At 51.3% G+C, this 23,457-nt stretch overlaps 1 protein-coding gene across 3 annotated transcripts in view, besides 3 other annotated features; it reads right to left on the bottom strand.

Moving 5' to 3' along the window:
* The window catches only part of SEC14L5 (SEC14 like lipid binding 5), a 60,828-nt gene that overhangs the window by 4,983 nt on the left and 32,388 nt on the right, over window positions 1-23,457 (bottom strand). For all 3 annotated transcript variants that reach the window (XM_024450497.2, XM_024450498.2, NM_014692.2), the window contains exons 5-15: window positions 23,280-23,408; window positions 22,145-22,337; window positions 17,715-17,827; window positions 17,131-17,320; window positions 13,432-13,520; window positions 13,250-13,320; window positions 10,602-10,773; window positions 8,127-8,261; window positions 6,689-6,823; window positions 5,527-5,754; window positions 2,902-3,080 (exon numbers count right to left, since the gene is read on the bottom strand). In XM_024450497.2, coding sequence (XP_024306265.1) covers window positions 2,902-3,080; window positions 5,527-5,754; window positions 6,689-6,823; window positions 8,127-8,261; window positions 10,602-10,773; window positions 13,250-13,320; window positions 13,432-13,520; window positions 17,131-17,320; window positions 17,715-17,827; window positions 22,145-22,337; window positions 23,280-23,408 — 1,634 coding nt within the window. The remainder of the gene's footprint in view (window positions 1-2,901; window positions 3,081-5,526; window positions 5,755-6,688; window positions 6,824-8,126; window positions 8,262-10,601; window positions 10,774-13,249; window positions 13,321-13,431; window positions 13,521-17,130; window positions 17,321-17,714; window positions 17,828-22,144; window positions 22,338-23,279; window positions 23,409-23,457) is intronic.
* Window positions 2,492-3,015: an enhancer, noted in NCBI's record as "H3K4me1 hESC enhancer chr16:5061161-5061684 (GRCh37/hg19 assembly coordinates)". NCBI's record gives its function as "activates a minimal SCP1, AML or CMV promoter by ChIP-STARR-seq in primed H9 embryonic stem cells {active_cell/tissue: H9 hESC(primed)}" and the evidence as "EXISTENCE:reporter gene assay evidence [ECO:0000049][PMID:30033119]".
* Window positions 3,016-3,539: an enhancer, noted in NCBI's record as "H3K4me1 hESC enhancer chr16:5060637-5061160 (GRCh37/hg19 assembly coordinates)". NCBI's record gives its function as "activates a minimal SCP1, AML or CMV promoter by ChIP-STARR-seq in primed H9 embryonic stem cells {active_cell/tissue: H9 hESC(primed)}" and the evidence as "EXISTENCE:reporter gene assay evidence [ECO:0000049][PMID:30033119]".
* Window positions 12,757-12,948: a silencer, noted in NCBI's record as "fragment chr16:5051228-5051419 (GRCh37/hg19 assembly coordinates)". NCBI's record gives its function as "represses an EF-1alpha promoter that drives an FKBP-Casp9 reporter gene in an ReSE screen in K562 erythroleukemia cells {active_cell/tissue: K562}" and the evidence as "EXISTENCE:reporter gene assay evidence [ECO:0000049][PMID:32094911]".

The raw sequence follows: 23,457 nt of genomic DNA, 5'->3' as shown, positions 1-23,457 counted from the left end.
GCCCATGCGACTGAGGCACTGAATTGTTCCTTTTATTTCATTCTCCTTGCTAAGTTAAATTGCTGCAGGTGACTAGCAGCGACCAGATAGGACAGTGCAGCTTTAGGGCCTTGCTACTCAAAGCATGGTCTGGGAACTGGCAGCACCAGCAGTGCCCGGAGCTTGTTAGAGATGCAGAACCTCGCCAGGTGCCATGGCTTACGCCTGTCATCCCAACACTTTGAAAGGCTGAGGCAGGGGGATCGCTTGAGGCCAGGAGTTTGAGACCAGCCTGGGCAAAATAGTGAGACCCCATCTCTACAAAAAATTTTAAAAGTGGCCAGGCACAGTGGCTCATGCCTGTAATCCCAGCCCTTTGGGAGGCCGAAGTGGGTGGATTGCTTGAGGCCAGGAGTTCGACACCAGCCTGGCTAACATGGCGAAACCTGTCTCCACTAAAAATATAAAAATTAGCCAGGGGTGGTGGTACGCACCTGTAATCCCAGCTACTCAGGAGGCTGAGGCATGAGGATTGCTTGAACCCAGGAGGCGGAGGTTGCAGTGAGTAGATATCGTGCCACTGTACTCCAGCCTGGGTGACAGAGTGAAACCCTGTCTCCAAAAAAAAAAAAAAAAAAAAAAAAAGCCAGGCAAGCTAGCCCATGCCTATAGTCCCAGCTACTTGGGAAGCTGAGGTTGGAGGATTGCTTGAGCCCGGGAGTTCAAGGCTACAGTAAGCTAGGATTGCACCACTGCACTCCAGCCTGGGTAACAGAGCGAGACTCTGTCTCCAAAAATAAATAAATAAAAAGACCCCCTGGTGACTTGTGTGACCACCACACTACTTAGATCTCAGTCCAGTGTCACGTTCCATATTACTTCCCCCACCCTCTCTCCCAACCCTAGGCCAGGCCCGTCCTGTGCTCTGGCAAGGCTCTAGGTTACGTCCCTGAGCACCTCCTGGCTGGGTGGCTGATACGGTTTGGCTCTATGGCCCAAGTAAATCTCATCTCAAATTGTAATCCCCAAGTGTTGAGGGAGGGATCTGGTGGGAGGTGATTGGATCATGGGGGCAGTTTCCCCCATGGTCTTCTTGCGATAGTGAATGAGTTCTCATGAGGTCTGATGGTGTAAAAGTGTGTGGCTTCCTCTGCTCTCTCTCTCTCCTGACCCTTTGCCTTCCGCCATGATAGTAAGTTTCCTGAGGCTTCCCCAGTCATGCAGAACCGTGAGTCAATTAAACCTCCTTTCTTTATAAATTACCCAGTCTCAGGTAGGTTTTTTTTTTTTCCTTTTTCTTTTTGAGACAGTCTCGCTCTGTCGCCAAGGCTGAAGTGCAGTGGCGCGATCTCAGCTCACTGCAATCTCCACCTCCTGGGTTCAAGGCATTCTCCTGCTTCAGCCTCCTGAGTAGCTGGGATTATAGGCATGCCCGGCTAATTTTTGTATTTTTAGTAAAGACGGGGTTTCGCCATGTTGGCTAGGCTGGTCTCAAACTCTTGACCACAGATGATCCACCCACCTCGGCTTCCCAAAGTGCTGGGATTACAGGCGTGAGCCACCACACCCGGCCTCAGGTAGTTCTTTCTCACAGTGTGGAAACGGACTAACACAGTGGCCTTGGCCATGGCATCCATCGCTGCCCATAGTTATACTTGGGTGTGAGCCTTTGGTCTCTGCTTCATGATGGCAGACCCTATCTGTGTGGTCCCCCCACGATCCGAGCCACCACCTGCCCCCTGAGGGCGACCAGGAAACAGCCTTTGAACTGATTTTCTCATGAGGCTACAAGAGGACAGGGCAGTAAGGTCCTCTCATGGTGACCACCCTTGACAGGTTGGTGTGCAGCGTCTGGCCCAGCCCACCCCTCTGGCCTCCACATGCCCGGCCTCAGAATCAGCCCTCCCAGAGACAACCTTCCAATGCCTGTGTCTATTCCTCTGTGTCCCCCTGGGCCTCAGCCTGTCGCCTCACACTGAGGACCGATGGCCAAAACATGCAGCTTCACAAAGAGTGAATCGCCAGCCCCCTGACAAACTATGGGACCCCTCCTTGGATAAAGACTCTGCCCCAGTGTTCTTCACTCTGGGTGCCCATGCTCCTGGGATCCTTGGAGCTCCACCTGGAATTTGAGGTCTAGACTCAGCACCTTCCTTGAGCCTTAATTTTACCCCCACGGGAAAGAATTTAAAGCATCATTTTTAGATGAAAACCAGTGCAGATCCATCATGAAGCAGGGTGCAAAATCATAAGTGCTTTTACAGAATGCAAAACCTTGAAGAAACTGCCTGCTCCGCCTCCAGACCTTCTCCTTCATTTCTGCTGTGGCATGCACACCGCATGCCCAGGTGACAGGCAGCTTCCCCCAGCCATCTCATCCTCATGACAAACCCACAAGACTGGGGCTCCAGTGGTTCCCATTTAAGGGATGAAGCACCTGAGGCTCAAAGAGGAAAAGTGATTTGCCCGAGGTCACACAGCAACCAGGAAGTGCTGGAGGTCTTAACCATTACAGTTCCCTGTCTCTCTGAAAGCAACAACTTGGGGAGGGTTGTCTAAAAAGCACCCTTTTAGAATATTCTAAAATATTCCCATGGAATTCTAGGAGTGAGGGGAAGCCCACATGGAAGGGTTTAAGACTCCCCTTCTCCTCCCCTCCAACTGCTCCAAAAAGTTGAGCTTCTGCCCAAGGTTTCATTTGAAGGAAAATCCCTGCTTCGGAAGCAGAGTTAGACGCGCAGAGCTGGGCTCTCCTCACACCCTAGTGCGGGGCTGTGTCACCTGAGAACTCCAACCATACCCATGCTGGGGTCCCACCCCGGGAGAAGCTGACCCAGCTGGGAGACAGGAGGCCAGGCATCTGCATTGTCAATCAGCCCCAGGGTCCTTCCTGCCCAGGACCCCGCTCCGGAGCCCTCCTACCTGAAGTCCTCAGAGGCGAGCACCTCACAGTAGTAGAGAAGTTTGCACTTGGGCCCGGGGCTGTGCAGAGCCGTCAGGACATCGTCCACACCCGGGAGGCTGCAGGCCACGCTGCTGGGGGGGCTGTGCATTTGCCACTGGAGCAGGTAGACGCCGGGCCACCGGGTCACATGGGAGCCCTGAAACACATCAGCCCTGCCCTGAGGCCCTGCGCCCTCCAGAGGACAGGTCAAGGAGGCTGAGCCTTCATGGGCTTCTCATCACCAGGCCTGGAAATTGGGGCTCTTCTCCCTCTGTCCCTTTCTCCAGTCCACCAGCAACTCCTCCTGTCAGGGCCTCTGGAAGCCATCCTTGCTATTATCCCCATATCCCTGGGACCAGAGCCTCCCTCTTAATCTGGGGAGGAGCTGACGCCTGGGGGTGGGGGTGCAACTTCAGGACAACAGAGGTGCTTAAACACCTGGATTTTGTGGGGCTTTTGCTCTGCTGAGTGGGATTTGCAAACCAAGGGGATTAGGAAAGGGATTTGGGCCGGGAGCTCACAGGTGCTTAGAGAGAATTTGTGGAGGGATCAGGGAGAGTGAGAAAGGGAAGTGTTTGTTTTTACAAGAAGAGCCACTTTGGGTTGCTCTGGGTTGAGAAGTTCAGTGGGACCCAGCAGTGGCTGTGAGGGACATGCAGGACGGCCCTCCACCCTCTCCCCACCGGGAACTTCGGTGAGATCGACAGCAACTGCCAGTGCTCGTGGAGCTGGTGCTGCGTGTGTGCATGTGTCATTTCGGGAGTCAGAGAGTGACATTCCACCTGCAATGCCAGCCTCCTGGAGAATGTGGGGATCAACAGGGGCAGCTCATATTCCAGTTACACGTTCAAGTTCTGTTCCAAGACTACAGTTTTGTTTTTTTTTTCTGAGACGGAGTTTCACTCTTTCACTCAGACTAGAGTATAATGGCATGATCTCAGCTCACTGCAACCTCTGCCTCCTAGGTTCAAGCGATTCTCCTGCCTTAGCCTCCCGAGTAGCTGGGATTACAGGCACCCGCCACCACACCTCGCTTTTTTTTTTTTTTTTTTTTTTTTTTTTTGTATTTTTAGTAGAGACGGAGTTTCACCATGTTGGCCAGGCTGGTCTCGAACTCCTGACTTCAGATGATTCACCTGCCTCGGCCTCCCAGAGTGCTGGGATTATAGGCATGAGCCACCGCACCCGGCCCAAGACCTACAGTTTCTTTTGCATCAGTTCTGAAACCACAGTGCACATCAGAAATCTGACTACTGACCTCAGGACCTTAGCACCTCCCCTTCTATCCAAACTAACTTCCAACCCCTCCCCAGCACTCAAGCTACCCTCGTGTCCACCTGCCTTCTCCCTGCGGCTTCAATTTTGTTCTTTCTGTTCCTTCCACCTGGAACATCATCCCCTCTCACCCCCTCCCAGATCCAGCCACAACTCAAGGTCTTCGTCCATACTGAAGCCACTTGAATGTATGCAGGCAACCTGAACTTCAAATTCCAATATGCTCATCCTTCCCCCTGCTTGAGTTAATGCAGTGGGTTGAACAGTGTACCCCCAAAATTCATGTCCAGCCAGAACCTCAGAACGTGACCTTATCTGGAAATAGAGTCTTTGTGGTTAAGGATTTAGGGTGAGGCCAGCCATGGTGGCTCACGCCTCTAATCCCAGCACTTTGGGAGGCTGAAGCAGGAGGATCGCTTGAGCTCAGGCATTCAAGATCATCCTGGGCAACATAGCAAGACCCCATCTCTACAAAAAATACAAAAGTTAGTTGGACATGGTGGCGGGAACCTGTAGTCCCAGCTACTCAGAAGGCTGAGATGGGAGGATCGCTTGAGCCTAGGAGGTAGAGGCTGTAGTGAGCTGTGATCATATCACTACATTCCCAGTCCCGCAAAAGTTTCCTGATCATGGATAGAGTGAGACCCTGTCTCAAAAAAAAACAGGATTTAAGATGGGGCCTAACTGTGATGGCTAGTGTCCTTACAGGAGAGAGGGGAGGGAGATTTGAGACTCAGAAGAGAGACAGACAGAGAAGAAACCCCTTTAAAGACAGAGGCAGAGATTGGGGTGATGCATCTACCCACCAATGACACCCAGGATTGCCAGGAGTTACCTAAGGCTAGGACAGAGGCATAGAATGAACCCCTCCCTACAGCCTTCAGAGGGAGCGTGGCCCTGCCAACACCTTGGTTTTGGACTTGTGAACTCCTGAACTGTGAGACAATAAATTTTTGTTGTTTTAGGCCATGTAGTTTGTGGTAACTCATTACTGCAGCCCCAAGAAACAAATACAGTTGGATCCTGTTAGAAGTCCCATTTCCCAGATGGGGAAACTCAGGTTCCAGACCCTGTGCTCCTCCCCAAGACACCAGCCACCTCTCAGCAGAGCACCCCGTGCTTTCTCGATTTTGCACCGGCTGCCATTGGGCAGGTGAGCACTTCATTACATGAGACCCTGTGTGTCTTTCCTCTGCCCTGTCCTGCAGGGTCCCTGAGGCTGGGGACCAGCAGCCCAGTATGTCCTCCGCTGTATCCCCAGAAGCCTGGCACGCAGTGGACACTCAGTGCTGCTTGGTGAGCGAATGAGTGGTCCAGAAAATGCAAACCTGGATGCTCTCCCCCTCCCGGCAGACAAGGGGAGCCTCCACACGGCTGTAATCCCTGCCCAGGACCCAGCCTTTGTCGATCAGCTGCCCGCTGGCCCTGGTCCCCGGTTCCCGGGCGCCCAGCCTGGGCGCCTGCTTGGTGTGGTACAGGCTGAACACCACGTCCCCTCGCAGGATGTCAAAGTCCCAGGTGATGACCGACTCTCCTTCCAGGATCTCCACGGCCACCTGTGTGGAGACAGGCGAGGTCTGAGAGTCACGGCCGAGAGAGTAGAGCTGGGGTGGGGAACACAGTGGCAGGAGGGGCTGTGGGTGCCCCCTGGGGTCTCCTTTCCCAGGCACACGCTCATTCCTTACAGGAGTGCCCTCCTCTCCTCAGTTTTCTCCTGAGACCTCGCCTGCAACAGATCACTGGCATAAGAATCCTTATCTCGGCCAGGCTTGGTGGCTCATGCCTATAATCCCAACACTTTGGGAGGCCGAGGTGGGTGGATCACTTGAGGTCAGGAGTTCGAGACCAGTCTGGCCAACATGGTGAAACCCCATCTCTACTAAAAATACAAACAAAAAAAAAATAGCCAGGCATGCTGGCTGGCACCTGTAATCCCAGCTACTCGGGAGGCTGAGGCAGAAGAATCACTTGAACCTGGGAGGCAGAAGTTGCAGTGAGCCAACATTGCGCCACTGCACTCCAGCCTTGGTGACAGAGTGAGACTCGGTCTCAAAAAAAAAAAAAAAAAAGAGGCCAGGCGCCGTGGCTCCCGCCTATAATCCCAGAACTTTGGGAGGCCTAGGCGGGCGGATCACCTGACCTCAGGATTTCAAGACCAGCCTGACCAACATGACGAAAACCCGTCTCTACTAAAAATACAAAAATTAGCTGGACGCAGTGGCATATGTCTATAATCCCAGCTACTCGGGAGGCTGAGGCATGAGAATTGCTTGAACCTGGGAGGTGGAGGTTGCAGTGAGCCAAGATTGCACCACTGCACTCCAGCCTGGGCAACAGAGCGAGACTCCATCCCAAAAAAAAAAAAAAAAAGAAAGAAAGAAAGAAAGAAAAGAAAAAAGAATCCTCATCTCAAGCTGTGTTTTGGGGTCACCTGACCTAAGACGACAGACACTCCAGCTCAGCGGGCCCTCCCCGGCCAGGCCCTGGCACCTCGTGGGGGGCTCCGCGGAGCACGCTGGCTGAATGGTAGGTCTCACTCCACTGCCACAGCTGGTCCGTGTGCTCCTGCTCCTCTTCTGTCATGTAGAGGGACTTGGGGACCAGCCCTCCTTCGGGGACATTACACTGCAGGTCAGAGATAAAGGGCAGCAGGTCAGGGCCAGTTGAGGCCTGGCTGGCCTGACCCACAGAAGGGTGATGTGTGACCCCCAAAGCCACTCATAATTGCAACCCCTTACTGAATGGGCTGTGGGCTTCCATGACCCCATTTAATCCCCAGGTCCACCAATGCAGTAGAGACTATTATTCTTCCCGTTTCACAGAGGAAGGAATGGAGGCTCGGGCAAGTCAGGCCACTCGCCCACGATCACACAGCAGAAAGTGAGTGAGCCAGGGCACAAACCCACGTTCGTCACAGCCCCATGCTCATGTCCCTTTACCCCGGTGCCGGACTGACAGCCAGGCTGGGGGGCCTCTCCACACCGCACCCCATAGCAGCTGCCTCTCCCCGTCACAGGCGGGGGTGGAACAGTCACTGCACCGTGCTCATCGAGAGATTTCCCCAAACCAAAGGCACCCTAGATGGCCAGGCCTTGGCAGAACTCCCCCTGCCACCACCAAACAATGATTACCCCCACCCCGTTTCACTTGTAGAAACACTGGGATTAGCAGGACACTGTTCAGTGTCTTTCCATAAGCCACTCTCAGATCTGCAGAACCGTTTGCTAAAAATAAGTCGTGTGTGCCGCACATCACAAACGGAGAGAACAGGCAAGCCTGGAAAAATTCCTAGGAAAAGACTTTTTTAAAATCCAGAAATGACGCAAGCTCACTGTCTGGTATTTCTGTTAGAAACAAAGAGGGCCCGGGCCACTGGGGGCCATATGAGATGACAGAGTTGTGACCTAGGATCACCCCAGCCTGTCATTTCACCCCAGGGGAGGCAATAAAAGGGGCCTGGACACTGCCTCCCTTGAAGGGGGTTCCTGATCGTTTCAGGCTGTGTGGCTGTGGGTTGGAGGCTAGTCCCAGCTCCAGGGTCCAGAGCTGCAGATACATTCGAGTCACCTCCCCTGCAGTGAATGAGCAGGTTAACTCACTGCTGCTTGGCAATGTCTTTGATGGGAATATAGAATGCGTAAGCCTTTGACTGGCCTAATCTTTAGGCTTCCAGAAACTTCTATCTCACTCACTATGTTTGAAGGACCCAGAGTAAGGCCCAACCTCAGAACAGCATCACCTCTCTTTGAAGCAGCTTCTAAAGCAAGCCCTGTGGCTGCTGAGAGCCAGCAAGACCTGCCCTAGGCAGAGTGCACATGCCGCACCCAGCCCCCCTCCACCTCCCAGCCCCACTCCGGGAATCCCAGCCTCCCAGCTAGGCATGCCCCCTCCTCAAGCCCAGGTCTGTCTGTGGACATGGAAGCCTCACCACACTCTCTCCCCCAAGGAAGTCAGGGATCACTTCTCTATCCAGATAGTCCACAAGGCCTCCGGGTCCCTGGTAGTTGCTGCCACTGTAGATGAGGAACTTCCGCCTGGTGTTCTCATTGATGAAGGGGCTGATCTGAAACCAGGACATAAGGCAAGATGGATGGTTTTTTTTTTTTTTTTTTTGAGACGGAGTCTTGCTCAGTCGCCCAGGCTGGAGTGCAGTGGCATGATCTTGGCTCACTGCAAGCTCCACCTCCCGGGTTCACGCCATCCTCCTGCCTCAGCCTCCCGAGTAGCTGGGACTACAGGCACCCACCACCATGCCCGGCTAATTTTTTTTTGTATTTTTAGTACAGACGGGGTTTCACCATGTTAGCCAGGATGGTCTCGATCTCCTGACCTCGTGATCCACCTGCCTCGGCCTCCCAAAGTGCTGGGATTACAGGTGTGAGCCACCACGCCTGACCATGGATGTATTTTTTTATTGAGATATAATTTATACAACATAGAATTAATCATTATAAAGTGCACAGTTCAGTGGCTTTCAGTGCACTCACTAGCTTGTGCAGCCAGCACCTCTACCTAGACATGTTCATCACCCCAGAAGGAAACCCCATTCCCACCCCACCGTCACTTCCCATCTCCCCTCCCCCAACCCAGGGCAACCACCCATCTACACTCTGTCTCTGTGGATTTGCCTATTCTGGGCGTTTCTTTTTTGTTTTTGTTTCGGAGACAGAGTCTCGCTCTGTCTCCCAGGCTTGAGTGCAATGGCGCAATCTTGGCTCACTGCAAGCTGCACCTCCCAGGTTCAAGTGATTCTCCTGCCTCAGCCTCCCAAGTAGCTGGGATTACAGGCTCCCACCACCATGCCTGGCTAATTTTTGTATTTTAATTTTGTACTTTTGTATTTTCACCATGTTGGCCAGGCTGGTCTTGAACTCCTGACCTCAGGTGATCCACCCACCTCGGCCTCTCAAAGTACTGGGATTACAGGCGTGAGCCACCTCGCCCAGCCCTATTCTGCACATTTCATATAAAGGAGATCACACAGTACATGGACTTCCGTGTCTGGCCCCTTTCACTGAGCATCAGGTTTTCGAGGTCCCTCCGTGTTGGAGGATCAGTGCTTCCTTCCTTCTTATGGACGAATGCTATTCCATTACATGGATGGAACAGTATTCCACAGTTTGTTTATTCCAGATGGAATCCATTTTAACACTGAGCTCTAAGCCACATGTTGATAAAGAAGGAAGGAAGTGGGAGAGAGAGAAAGAAGGAAGGAGCCCTTGGCATGGCAGATAACAGGCCAGTTCTACAGGGAATGCCACAAGCCAAGAGATAGGTGAGGAAACTGCAATCCCCCCGTGCAGGGCCCTCTCCTGTCCCCAGCCCCACTGCGCTCTGTGCTGTGCTGGGCCCCAGGAGGCTGAGGCTGACCCCCAGTAGCTCCCTGCCCCCACCCCTGTCCCAGCTTTCCCCAGGATTCTGCAAGGACATTCCCTCCTCTTGGGGGTGGCCAGGCTTACTGCAGTCACTGGTGCTTGGGGTCTCTCCTTCCCCTGCCCACACCTCTGCAAGGAGCCCCTTCAGGACACCCCTCATTTGAACCATCTGGGTGAGGTCCACTTCCAGCCAGGACCCCGGCTGATGTGCTCGCACTCCCAAAACCACCCCAAACAGCAGGTGGACTTAATTTTCCCGGAGATTAGGACAATTCAGGATAAAAAGCTTCAGAAGCAGCTCCTGCCCCCTAGCCTCACCTGAACAGAGCCTTGAAGCACCCACAAAAGCTAGAGAACTTCCTGGCCCCTAAGTCTGTCCCCCACCCTCCCCTGCTACTGAACCCTCCATGGGTCCCTATTGCCCCTGTACATCTTCCAGCCTCCTCAGGTGCTGTCGTCCCTTTTGCTCTTTTTTGCTCAGCCACCCTGGACTGTTTCTTCAGTTCCTCCAAAGCATCAAGCTGGGTCCAGCCTCCAGGCTTTTGCCCACACTATGCAAGTGGCTGGCTGCACCCTTGTTTCAGAGGAGTGTGTGTGTGGGCGTGGGTGTATGTGTGCGCGCACATGGGTGCATGCACGCGTGTACCCACCGGGTTACAATATAGAGTATATTTCAGGTCAGGCGCAGTGGCTCACACCTATAACACAAACACTTTGGGAAGCCAAGGCAAGAGGACCGCTTGAGCCCAGGAATTTGAGACCCACGATAATGGGCATGGGGGTTCTTTTTGGGGCGACAGAAATGTTCTGGGATTGGCTAGTGGTGACAATTGCTTAACTCAGTGAATACAGGAAAGACCACTGGAGTCTATACTTAAAAAGTGTGAGCTTTATGCTATGTGAGTTTCATCTCCAAAAAGTTACTAAATGAAATGAAACAGGAAAAGAGAGCAGAGCTGCTTGCAGACGGAACCCCTCCCATCCCACCCACCCCCAGGGAGAGTCCTGGCCCAGGCTCCAGCTCTTACCAGTGTCCAGAGCACGGGGAAGACTCGGGGGGCTCGCACGATGAGCAGCCGACCCAGGGTCTCTGGGTAATTGTCCTCAACCACCTCAATCATCCGCAGCAGGGCCTTCACCCCCGGCCGCCACAGGTGCCGCATGTTGAGTCCCTCCAGGTCTAGCAGGCAGGTCCAGGAGCTGTGGCAGAAATAGCCCCAGCTCCACCTGGCTCTGCTGCCTCCCAAGGCCACCAACACCCTCCCCACAGGGGATGAACAGGGAGGCTCCGAGAGATAGGGCTGGGAGCAGATGGGGGCTCCTGCCACAGTAGGGAGCCCATGCGATGAAGAGGATCAGACTGTGGACTTCAGGGCTGAGCGCCCAAATTCAAGTCTCACCTGCACCCCTGAGAGCCTTAGGTCAGGGCACAGACCCACTTACTCATAGGACAGTGGCAAAGGTAGTAACAGTCCTCATCTGAAGCAACTGCTGTTAGGATCAAGTGAGATGGTATATACAAAGCTCTCTGCAAGGACGGGCACACCACATGCCCTCAATTATAGCTGGTTATCACAAGTGGCCATTTAGGCCTAGCATTCCATTATTGCAATGCTAAGCGTGTGGGAGTTATTTCTATCCTACTGCTCAAGGTCATCACCAAGGTCTGATTGCAAAAATTCAAAACATTGCAACCTCAGGCATAAATGAGTTAATTGTTGAAAAGATGCTAACTACTAAATAGAGCAGAGGTGCTGAGAGCATGCACTCCACAGTCAGATGGCCAAGGTTCAAATCCCAGTTCTGCCACTTGCTGTGTGATCTTGGTCAAGTCCTGAACCTCTCTGTGCCTCCATTTCATTAGTATTCATTCATTAGGAAAATAACTGTTTGACTGCAGCGGCTGGTGCCCGGGAGCCTCCACCTCCCAGATTTGTTCGCTTAAACCTGCACACACCTCTCCAAAGCATCCCTTCATGACACTCCCTCATTTGAGCCATCTGGGGTGAATTATGCTTCCGGCCAGGACACTAATGGATTGATTCCCACTTCCACCCCAACATACGTGTCCTTAGAAAATCTCTAGAGACCAGCCTGGCCAACATGGTGAAACCCCATCTCTACTAAAAATACAAAAATTAGCCAGGCGTGGTGGCAGGCACCTGTAATCCCAGCTACCTGGGAGGCTGAGGCACGAGAATCACTTGAACCCAGGAGGTGGAGGTTGGAGTGAGCCAAGATTGCACCACTGTACTCCAGCCTGGGCGACAGAACGAGACTCTGTCAAAAAAAAAAAAAAAAAATCTGCAAACAGCAAAGGAACTTTAATTTTCACAAAGATCGGGATATTTGGGGCTGAAAAGCTGAAGCAGCAGCTCCTGCCTGCCCGTGTCTCACAGGGCTGTTTAGGAGGAGGAAATGAATCAAGGTGCTTAGAAGGGCACCTGCTACATAGCAAGTGCAAGATCCGTGTTTGCATTATTTTTAAACCCTTATTATTTTTGAGAATCCATTTGTAAAAGCCACTTTACAGGCTGGGAACAGAGGCTGACGCCTGTAATCCCAACCCTTTGGAAGGCCAAGGTGGGAGGATCACTTCAGCCCAGGAGTTTTAGACCAGCCTGAGCAACAGGGTGAGACCTCATCTCTGCAAAAAAAAAAATTAGCTGGGCAAGGTGGTGCACATTTATAGTCCCCGCTGCTTGGGAGGCTGAGGTGGGAGGACTGCTTGAGCCCAGCAGGTCAAGGCCGCAGTGAGCTGTGATTGCACCACTGCACTCCAGCTTGGGTGACAGAGTGAGAGCCTGTCTCAAAGGAAAAAAAAAAGCCACTTTACAGAAGAGGAAGCTGCTGCTCAGAAAGGTTTGCTGCCTTTGGGGGCGATGCCACCGTAAGTACTGGCTCCGGGAAACAGTTCAGGAACAGAAATGCGGGGGAGTCAGAGGACAGTGGGTTCCTGCAGAGGACACTGGGTTCCTGGATGTGCCATGACAGAGCCAAGGGAGAACTCGTGGTGGAGAGCTGATCTCAAAAAGCAAAGTCAGGCTGTGAGTGGTGGCTCACGCCTGTAATCCCAGCACTTTGGGAGGCCGAGGCAGGCGGATCACGAGGTCAGGAGACCGAGACCATTCTGGCTAACACAGTGAAACCCTGTCTCTACTAAAAATACAAAAAAATTAGTCAGGCGTGGTGGCGGGTGCCTGTAGTCCCAGCTACTCTGGAGGCTGAGGCAGGAGAATCGCTTGAACCCGGAAGGCAGAGCTTGCAGTGAACTGAGATTGCACCGCTGCACTCCAGCCTGGGCGACAGAGCGAGACTCCGTTTCAAAAAAGAAAAAAAAAAAAAAAAAAAGCAAAGTCAAGGAGACTGTTGAGTGGAGTGGGAGGATAAAGTCTTCGAGCTAGAAGCCAGACAGGACCCCAGGTTCAAATCCAGCTCTGTCCTGACCGGCTCACAAGCTTCGATGGGGGCCACCATTCTGAATCTCAGTTTCCCCATGCATAGAAAACGGGGATGCTTACGGGCCCTGCCTCAAGGCCCAGAAGACCACTGTAGAAACTGGGGGAGAATGAAGCCCCTGGCACGCTGCCCAGCCCAGCACATATGCACAGTGGACCCCTCTCCACCCTCCGTCTTTGCTGTTTAGGGGGGATTTGTGCCCAGCCCAGGTGTTTGCCTGATGGGACGGCCCAGCTGCCTTGTGCTCCCCTCACACCGCTTCTGTCCTTCCTCGTTGACGGAGAGAACCTGGAAGGGAGAGACAGTGCTGCTCAACGTCCGCCTCGCTGCTTTACCCCACACAGTCCTTCCCAGGCCCGGCCCCAGGCACGGCGTCCAGGAACGAGGCCCCTGACTCACATGCCGCAGCAGCGCCTCCTCCCCCACGGCCTTCATCAAGCCTTTGGTGTCCATCTGGCCCAGGCGGAGGATGTAGAGGGGGCGGCCATCTTTGTGGATGGGGCCAAGCAGAAAGAAGAGCCCGTTATTTAGAGGACTGCTTCCGAGGGGCAGGTCACAGCTGCAGGTGAGAGCTTCACCTCCTCAGGCTGCAACCCACCAAGGCCCGATCCAGCCTTCACTTACTAACACCCTGCCTGCTTCCAAGAGGGGCTGACGCCCCTTATTGTGAAAGGCAGAAAAACAGAAGTGTTACAATGAGGATAAGGGCCAGCACAGTGGCTCACACCTATTACCCCAGCATTTTGGGGGGCAGAGGCAGGAGGATTGCTTGAACACAGGAGTTTTGAGACCAGCCTGGGCAACATAATGAGACCTCTTCTCTACAAAACATTTTTATTTATGTATTTATTTGAGACAGAGTCTTGCTCTGTCACCCAGGCTGGAGTGCAGTGGTGCGATCTCGGCTCACTGTAACCTCGGCCTCCCAGGTTCAAGCAATTTTCCTGCCTCAGCCTCCCGAGTAGCTGGGATTACAGGCGCCCACCACCGCACCCGGCTAATTTTCGTATTTTTAGTAGAAATGGGGTTTCACCATCTTGGCCAGGCTGGTCTCAAACTCCTGACCTCAGGTGTACACCCACCTCAGCCTCCCAAAGTGTTGGGATCACAGGCATGAGCCACCGCAGCTGGCCCCATAATACTTTTTGTCAACCAATCAATATATAACCTTGTTTTATGTGGTGTTTTTTGTCTGTTGGTTTGTTAGTTGGTTGATTTGTTGGTTTTTGAGACAGAGTCTCACTGTATCACCCAGGCTGGAGTTCAGTGGAGCAATCTCAGCTCACTGCAACCTCTGCCTCCCAGGTTCAAGCGATTCTCACACCTCGGCCTCCCAGGTAGCTGGGACTACCGGCATGCACCACCACGCTTGGCTAATTTTTGGTATTTTTAGTAGAGACAGGGTTTCACAATGTTGGCCAGGCTGGTCTCGAACCCCTGGCCTCAAGTGATCTGCCGCCTCGGCCTTCCAAAATGCTGGGATTACAGACGTGAGCCCACCATGCCTGGCCTCTTTGTTCTTTGAGGCAGGGTTTCACTCTGTCACCCAGGCTGGAGTGCAGTGGCATGATCTCGACTCACTGCAGCCTGAACCTCCCCAGCTTAAACAATCCTCCCACCTCAGCCTCCCAAGTAGCTGGGACCACAGGCATGCAGCACCATGCCCAGATAATTTTTTTGTATTTTTTGTGGAGATGTGGTGGAGGGGGGCGAGCTCACTATGTTGCCCAGGCTGGTCTCGAACTCCTGGGCTTAAGCGATCCTCCAGCTTTGGCTTCCCAGAGAGCTCTGATTACAGGTGTGAGCCACTGCGCCCGGCTTGTGTTTCTGTTTAAGGACACTTGAATGCATATTGCTGATCTGTCAGCATTGAACTCACGGCCAGCAGCCCTGTAGCTGGTGCCTGCCTGAAGCTAGTGGAGCACTTTGGGTGTTTTCTGCATGGAGCACGTGGCCACTTGCTCATCCTTAGGAAAGCTAGGCGCAATTCTGCACTACACGAAGAGGCATTTTAAACAGCAAAGTCACCAAAGAAAAGCCCAAAAATGCAACAATGTGGCATTAAATAGGCCACAAAAAGGACACTCGTTTAGGGTATGAGAACTGAAACAAAAAGGCAGGAGCCGCGTCATTCAACTTCAGCAGACAGCATGCGTGATGGGCGACTCCAATACTTCGCCACTCTGAATATGTCTCAGCATGACTGAAAAAGTTCTGTGAATACTGATTTGGGGGTTACAAGTAAATTTCAGCAATAAGGGGAGTTCATAAATTTGGATTCCATAAATTAGGAAGATTGATCGTTAAGAGAAACCATGCCAGCCGGTTCTTTAGGAGAGTCAAGCGTTTACCCTACTTGATATAGATGAACGTTTATTTTTTTTTTTTTTTTTTTTTTTTTTTTTGAGACGGAGTCTCGCTCTGTCGCCCAGGCTGGAGTGCAGTGGCGGGATCTCGGCTCACTGCAAGCTCCGCCTCCCGGGTTCACGCCATTCTCCTGCCTCAGCCTCCCAAGTAGCTGGGACTACAGGCGCCCGCCACTACGCCCGGCTAATTTTTTGTATTTTTAGTAGAGACGGGGTTTCACCGTTTTAGCCGGGATGGTCTCGATCTCCTGACCTCGTGATCCGCCCGCCTCGGCCTCCCAAAGTGCTGGGATTACAGGCGTGAGCCACCGCGCCCGGCCCTAGATGAACGTTTAGATAAAGGACATTGGAAAGTGTCGTAGGCACAGGCTTCAGTGGCAATTTAACTTAAAAATCCAGAAAAGATATTTGTAATGGGTGGAATCGTGTCCCAAAACTCATATCCATGGGGACATTAAAATGTGACCCATGCCTGGGTGCAGTGGCTCACTCCTGTAATCCCAGCACTTCAGGAGGCCAAGGCGGGCGGATCACTTGAGGTCAGGAGTTCCAAGAACAGCCTGGCCAACATGGTGAAACCCCATCTCTACTAAAAGTACAAAAATTAGCCAAGCATGGTGGTGCACGCCTGTAGTCCCAGCTACTCAGGAGGCTGACGCAGGAGAATCGCTTGAACCTGGCGGGGGGCGGAGTTGCAGTGAGCTGAGATCACACCATTGCACTCCAGCCTGGGTGACAGAGCCAGACTCTGTCTCAAAAAAAAAAAAAAAAAAGAACTAGAGTCTGTGCAGGTGTAATTAGTTAATTAGTTAAGGATCTCAAGATAAAATCACACTGGATTTGGGGTGAGCCCTAAATCCAATCTCCTGGGGTCCTTATGAGAAGAGGCGAGGACACAGAAACACAGAGGGGAAGGCCATGTGAAGAGAGAGGCAGAGACTGGAGTGAAGCTGCCACCAGCCAAGGAACACCTGGGTCCACCAGAAGCTGGAAAAAGCAGGCAAGGATTCTCCCCTAGAACTTTCAGAGGGAGCACGGCCCTGGTGACGCCTTGACTCCAGACTTCTGGCCTCGAGAACTGTGAAAGAACACATTTCTACTGTTTTAAGCCACCAAGATTGTGCCAATTTGCTACAACTGCCCTTGGAAATGCATACAAAATGTATGCACCTGTTACCTTTACGATCACAATTATTGTGAGTAATTGTGGGCTCACTCAGCCCAGTGGAGAAATGTCTCCTCCTCAAGCCCCAAAGCCTTCCAGCTCTGGTTCTTCCTAGCTAGGTTGTCACTTCAAAGCATTTCTAGATGCCTGGAAGAGTCAAAAGGAAAAATAGTAAGATGTTAGCATGAAGCATGGCATTTAAAGGGCATTTGGGCCGGGTGCGGTGGCTCATGCCTGTAATCCCAACACTTTGGGAGTCTAAGGCAGGTAGATCACTTGAGATTAGGAATTTGGGACCAGCCTGGTCAAAATGGCAAAACCTCATCTCTACTAAAAATACAAAAAATTAGCCAGCTGTGGTGGCGGGTGCCTGTAATCCCAGCTGCTGGGGAGGCTGAGGCAGGAGAATTGCTTGAACCCGGGAAGCGGAGATTATGGTGAGCCGAGATGGCACCACTGCACTCCAGCCTGGGTGACAGAGTGAGACCCCATCTCAAAATAATAAATAAAGTGCATTTGGCAGTGACCAAAGTATGCCCTATACATGATGTGGGTGGAGGCACGCACCTATGTCCTGGTAATGCCAGCCCCCTGCATAGAACTCCTCCAGCAGGGCAGGGGGTTGCCAGGTCTGAAGGAGGAGATCCACCTGGTGCTGCTTGCGCCAGCTCAAGGACTGGCGCAGCATTTCCCGGGCCTTGTCCAGGTGGAAGTCATGAGCCCGCAGGAACCGAAGGATGTGCTCATCTTTGGGAATCTGAGAGACAAAGAAGTAAAAAGCCCACAGAACGGTATCCCCTGACCCAGCAGATAAAATTACAGAACCAGCCGGGGCAACATGGTGAGACCCCATCTCTACAAAAAGTACAGAAATTAGCCAGGCGTGGTGGTGTGCGCCTGTAACCCCAGCTACTCAGGAGGCTAGGGCAGGAGAATTGCTTGAACCCAGGAGGCGAAGGTTGCAGTGAGGATCACACCACTGCCTGGGGGACAGAGTGAGACTTTGTCTCACAGAAATAAATGAATAAATAAATAAATAAGCAAGAGATAATGTGTCAGCATTATCATCTCGCCTTTCCTTCCCATGCACGGAGGCTGAGTACCAGTCATTGCCCATTCATCCACTGCTCCAGGGTACCCCCTGCACCCACCTTGCCTTTGTGGGTCTCCTGTAACCAGTGCCGAAGCTGGATCAGGCAGCTCTCCTGCATGGGCGTGAGGTGGCCCAGGCACCTCTCAATGTAGTCCGCATCCAGCTTGTCCCCTTGGAGGAGAAGGGGGAGCTTCAGGACAAGAGGGAGACGCTGCGTCTCTTTACCATGTGGTCTGTGTGCCATTCCTTACTGGCTGCCTCACTGACTCTAAAACGTGGTTCCAAACCAGGCTAAGCCCCCGCCCCAGACAGCAGCCACCGGACTCTGAATGCATTCATTTCTCCAGCCCATGTCCAAGGGGGTTCTGAAAACGCATCATCAGGCAAACCTGGATCTCACTGTGAGATGGGATTTCTCCTCTTTGACCCTGGGAATTGAAGATAATTCCCACCCTCTGGGGATGTTCTAAGGATTCTTAACAATATGGGCTTACACTCACTACCTTCTCAGAAGCCACCTGGTCTCACTGAGCTCTCTCCACACCCCTGTGAGGCAGGCGTCACTATTATCCCCACTTTAGAGAAGATAAAACTGCTGTGAGTGGTGGCTCACGACTGTAATCCCAGGACTTTGGGAGCCCACGGCAGGCAGATCACTTGAAGTCAGGATTTTGGGACCAGCCTGGCCAACATGGTGAAACCCAGTCTCTATTAAAATACAAAAATTAGCCAGGCGTGGTGGCACACACCTGTAATCCCAGCTACTCAGGAGGCTGAGTCAGGAGAATCGCTTGAACCTGGGAGATGGAGGTTGCAGTGAGCCAAGATTGCACCACTGCACTCCAGCCTGGGCAACAGAGTGAGACTCCGTCTTAAAAAAAAAAAAAAAAAAAAGAGAGAGAGAGAGAAGATAAAACTGAGGCCTAGAGAGGTGGAGTAACTCGAATGAGTAAATGCATGTTGTGCACCCAGCACAAAGGAGGTGGCTGATAAACACCAGTTCTCTTTGCTTTGCCCCATCCCCAGGCCCCATTGTGGGGTTTTGACAGACAGCAGCTTTTAACAGAGCCTGGACCTTGCAACACAGCCATGCTCTCTTTAGCAGCCTGGGAACCACAGGGAACATTCCCACTGTGCAGCCTTGTCCCCCACAACTGGGCGGTTGTAGTCGGAATGTTGCCAGTGTGCAGAGGCCAGGCCCCAAGCTTGAGTCCTGTTCCCCCACTCTTAGCCATGAGGGTGGCAGATGCTGGCGTGCAGAGGCCTCGTGGCATCTCAGCAGTGGGCGGAGACGTCACACAAAGCAGCAGCCTCCGTGGGCAGAGCCAGTTCTTTGTAGACAGATGGCTAAATAAGAAAACAGGCTGAATGAACGGCCAGCAGCACCCCCAAAACAGAAAAGCCCACAGTGGGGGGTCACGCCAACTGCTGTGCCAGGAGCCATCTAGGTAAACAGAGGTGGGAGAATGTTGGCAGAGGGCGAATTGTCCAGACCTTGTGTGGTCAGAGGCAGAGATGCTGGAATCAGGGAGGGAGTGAGGATGGGATGAGGGAGAAAAACGAGAGAGGCCGGAGCTCCCAGCATCCTTCCGGCCCCGGGCAGATGTGAAGGCTTTTTCTACTTCTGAGCACAAAGACTCAGTGATTCAGGAGAGGGCAGAAGGGGCATGAGGATGTCCTCTGCCCGCCACCCTGAGTGCCTGTGCTGCTGGCGGACAGCACAGATGGAGAAGGAAGGAGCGACCTGTGCAAAATGGGGAAGGTACAGGGGACCAGGCCACAGAGAGCGTGCACAGGAGGGGGCAGGAGCGGGCGCTGTTATAAAAAAAAAAAAAATGTGCACATACAACAACAGCCAACCAGCACACACAGTCGGTGCAGAATAAATACTTGTTGCATGTAATTTCAGCACTTTGGGAGACCAAGGCAGGAGGATAACTTGAGGTCAGGAGTTCGAGACCAGCATGGCCAACATGGTGAAACCCTGTCTCTACTAAAAATACAAAAATTAGCCGGGAATGATGGTGCACGCCTGTAGTCCCAGCTCCTTGGGAGGCTGAGGCAGGAGAATCGTTTGAACCCAGGAGGCGGAGGTTGCAGTGAGCTGAGATCACACCACTGCACTCCAGCCTGGGTGACAGATAAAAAAAAAAGAAAAAGAATAATACATGTTGTATGAATGAATTTCATTCTCCCTAAACAGAGCCCCAGATGTATTATTAGTTCCATGGCACTGCCACCCAAGTGTGTCAGAGTTAGGGAAGTCCCTGCACGGCAGTGGCCCTAAAGGAAAAACATTATCAACCTGAGTACACATCTTACACATGGCTAGAACTGGATTTGTGGTGTACATACAATTTGTATCCTAGGATTTTTCCTTTTAACATTATATTGTAAACATTTTCCATGTCCATAAAAGCTTGAACTGTGACAAAAGGCTAGTTGCCTTCATATACAAAGAGCTCTTACAAACCAATAAGAAAGCAATGGGCAAATAAGAAAATGGACAAAGGACAAGAACAAGTATGTATTATTAAAAAAAAAAAAAAAAAGGAAAACAGTCACTAAACATGAAAAATCATGCCTGATCTTGCTCATAATGAAAAAACTTGTCACTAATCAACAAGTGACTACTTTTATTCCCTTTCAGAAGTTTGAGATGTTTACTAAGACTTTTGTGGGGAGCTGGAGTGAAGTCAGGAATAGATGCAATTACACATTCAGTGGGAACAATGATTGGTACAACCTCATTGGAAGCCTAATGGTTAAATCTACCAAAATTTTACTTGCATGTAAACTTTGAACCAGCAATTCCACTTTTAAAATGTTATGCTTTGTATATACTTACAGACATTTTAAAAAAATTATTAAGTACTCACATGTACCATGTTGTTTGTATTTTTAAAAACTGAAACGACCTAAATAGGGTTGTTTCCTTCAATAGGGAACTAGCTAAATAGACTAATTCAAAATAATCAAGGCCATGGGCAGTGGCTCACATGTAATTCCAGCACTGTGGGAAGCCAAGGCAGGTGGATCACCTGAGGTCAGGAGTTCAAGACCAGCCTGGTCAACATGGTGAAACCCTGTCTCCACTAAAGATTTAAAAATTAGTCAGGTGTGGTGGCACATGCCTGTAATCCCAGCTACTCAGGAGGCTGAGGCAGGAGAATTGCTTGAAGCCGGGAGGCAGAGGTTGCATTGAGCTGAGATCGTGCCATTGCACTCCAGCCTGGGTGACACAGTGAGACTCCACTTCAAAAATAATTAATTAATTAATTAAAAATAAAATAAAAGTAAAAATAAATTATCTAGACATGGTGGCCTGTGCCTATATAGTCCCAGCTACTCAGGAAGCTGGGGCAGGAGGATCGTTTGAGCCCAGGATTTCAAGGTTACAGAGAGACACGATTGCACCACTGCATACCAAGCTGGGCAACAGAGCAAGACCCTGTCTCTAAATAAATAATTAATATTTATTAATAAATTAGTTATGGTGCAACCACACCATACTATGAAGTATGAAAAGAAGACATAGGCACTGATACAGAAAGTTTTTCAGGCAACATTAGTAAGTGAAAAAAAAGCAAAATATCAAATGGAATGTATATGTTCTCACGTATTCAACATAAGACACACATGTATGTATGCATGTACACACATATGTGTGTGGGTATATATACATTTTATGTGCATATATGCACCTAAACAGCTTCAGGACATAGAAACACAAAACTATTGTTAGCCTTTAGGGAGAGGAAAAGAATCGTACTTCTTACATCTTCCTTACAGTTTGAATTTTTTTCTACCATGATCATGCATTACTCGTATAATTTAAAATAGCAATAGCAATCGTAATAATTAGTAAATTCATAATAATTGCTAAGTTAGTAAATAGTAAAACCAGAGAAAGAGGCAATGTCAAGGCACCAGAGGTTAATTCCTGATCTAGAAATAAATGAGTTTTTGCCGGGTGCAACGGCTTACGCCTGTAATCCCAGCACTTTGGGAGGCCAAGGCAAGCAGATCACTTGAGCTCAGGAGTTTGAGACCAGCCTGACCAACATGGTGAAACCCCATCTCTGCTAAAAATAGAAAAAATTGGCCGGGTGTGGTGGCAGATGCCTGTAATCCCAGCTACTTGGGAGGCTGAGGCAGAAGAATCACTTGAACCCGGGGGGCGGAGGTTGCAGGGAGCCGAGATCGTGCTACTGCGCTCCAGCCTGGGAGACATAGGGGGACTCCGTCTCAAAAAAGAAAAGAAAAGAAAAGAGAAAAGAAAAGAAACAAATGAGTTCTGCTCTTGGACCAGGATGGAGAGAGAGAAAAGCACTCAGTGGAGGCAGGAGGCGGTGTCGTTCCAAGACCCAGACCCATTCCCAGGGGGGACGGCAGGCAATTCTCCCCAACATGCCCCAGGGCCCCCCATGGAGCAAGAGGACCTGCAGCAGCCTCCTAGGGCTGACTGGCCTGGGCTGTACCACCTACCGTCCATACTGACCGCCTCCAGAGCGGGCCCCAGGGTGCTACGGGGCCCGTGGGCCTCCAGGGAGCTGGGGTCCCTCGGTCCAGCCTGGTTGCGGGCATCCTCCTCACGGACTGGGGCAGGCGTCCAGCGCGGAATGTGCGAGGTACCCTGGGAGATGAGCTCATTCAGGTAATGCTCAATCACCTCCTTCCCCTGGAAGCCAGAGAGACCCAAGACACATGAGCACGGGGCAGGATGGAGGGGGGTCACAGGATCACCACAGGGAGTCACCCCCAGCCGGCTCAGGTCCCAGCCCCGACACGTGGCTATTGAGTGGCTGGATGTGTCTGGTCGGGATGGAGAGAAGCTGCGAGTGTCCAACACCCACCTAATTTCCAAGGCTTGGTACGAAACAAAGAATGCAAAATAGCTCAGTAATCAGTTTTTTGGGTTGGGGGTTGTTTTTGTTTTTGTTTATTTTTTTTGAGACAGTGTCTTGCTGTGTTGCCCAGGCTGGAGTGCAGTAGTGTCATCTCAGCGCACTGCAGCCCCAACCTCCCAGGATCAAGAGATCCTCCTGCCTCAGCCTCCTGAGCAGCTGGGACTATAGGCACACACCACCACACCCACCTAATTTTATTTTATTTTATTTTTTTAGAGATGGAGTCCACTATGTTGCCTAGACTGCTCTGAAATTCCTGGGCTCAACTGGGCCTCCAACCTCGGAGAATTAAGTTTTATATTGATAACACATTGTTTAAAAATTTGTTATTAAAGTTAATTTCATCTGTTTCATCACAAGAACGGGTTTTTACTCAGGGATGGATCTGAGGTCTTTAGAGCAAGCAATGATCATTTTATCTAAAAAAAAAAAAAAAAAAAAAAAAAGCACCACAGAATTATCTGTTGTCCAGATAATTCACCACATAAGCCTGGACATCTCATGGTGCCAGAGCGAGGATTAGGGTGCCCCTGTTACAGACCAGTTACTTTCCATCCATTATCTCGTGGTGATTTGGTCATTACTAGAGTACCCATTTAACAGATAACACTGAGCCCAGGAAGGGTAAGGGTCTTGCCAGGGGTCATGCAGCTGTTGATGGCAGAGCAGGTGTGTGCACCTTCCTCCAGTAACTAACGCAACCCACCGCTTACCCTCTTGACGTTGGCGGTGTACTGCTTCATGGCGATCTTCTCCAAGGCATTTTCAAAGCCAAAGAAAGACCGAATGTCCAGTGAGGCAGACTGCTCGAAGCAAGTCCAGTCTTCATTCTCAGGGTGGACCTGAAAGCCAGGCAGGGGTCATGCCAGGGACTCAATGTCGGGGGCACCC

This window comes from Homo sapiens, chromosome 16 (assembly GCF_000001405.40).
Source record: "Homo sapiens chromosome 16, GRCh38.p14 Primary Assembly".
In the NCBI taxonomy this organism is placed as follows: domain Eukaryota; kingdom Metazoa; phylum Chordata; class Mammalia; order Primates; family Hominidae; genus Homo; species Homo sapiens.
This window is presented reverse-complemented; position numbering and strand designations above follow the sequence as displayed.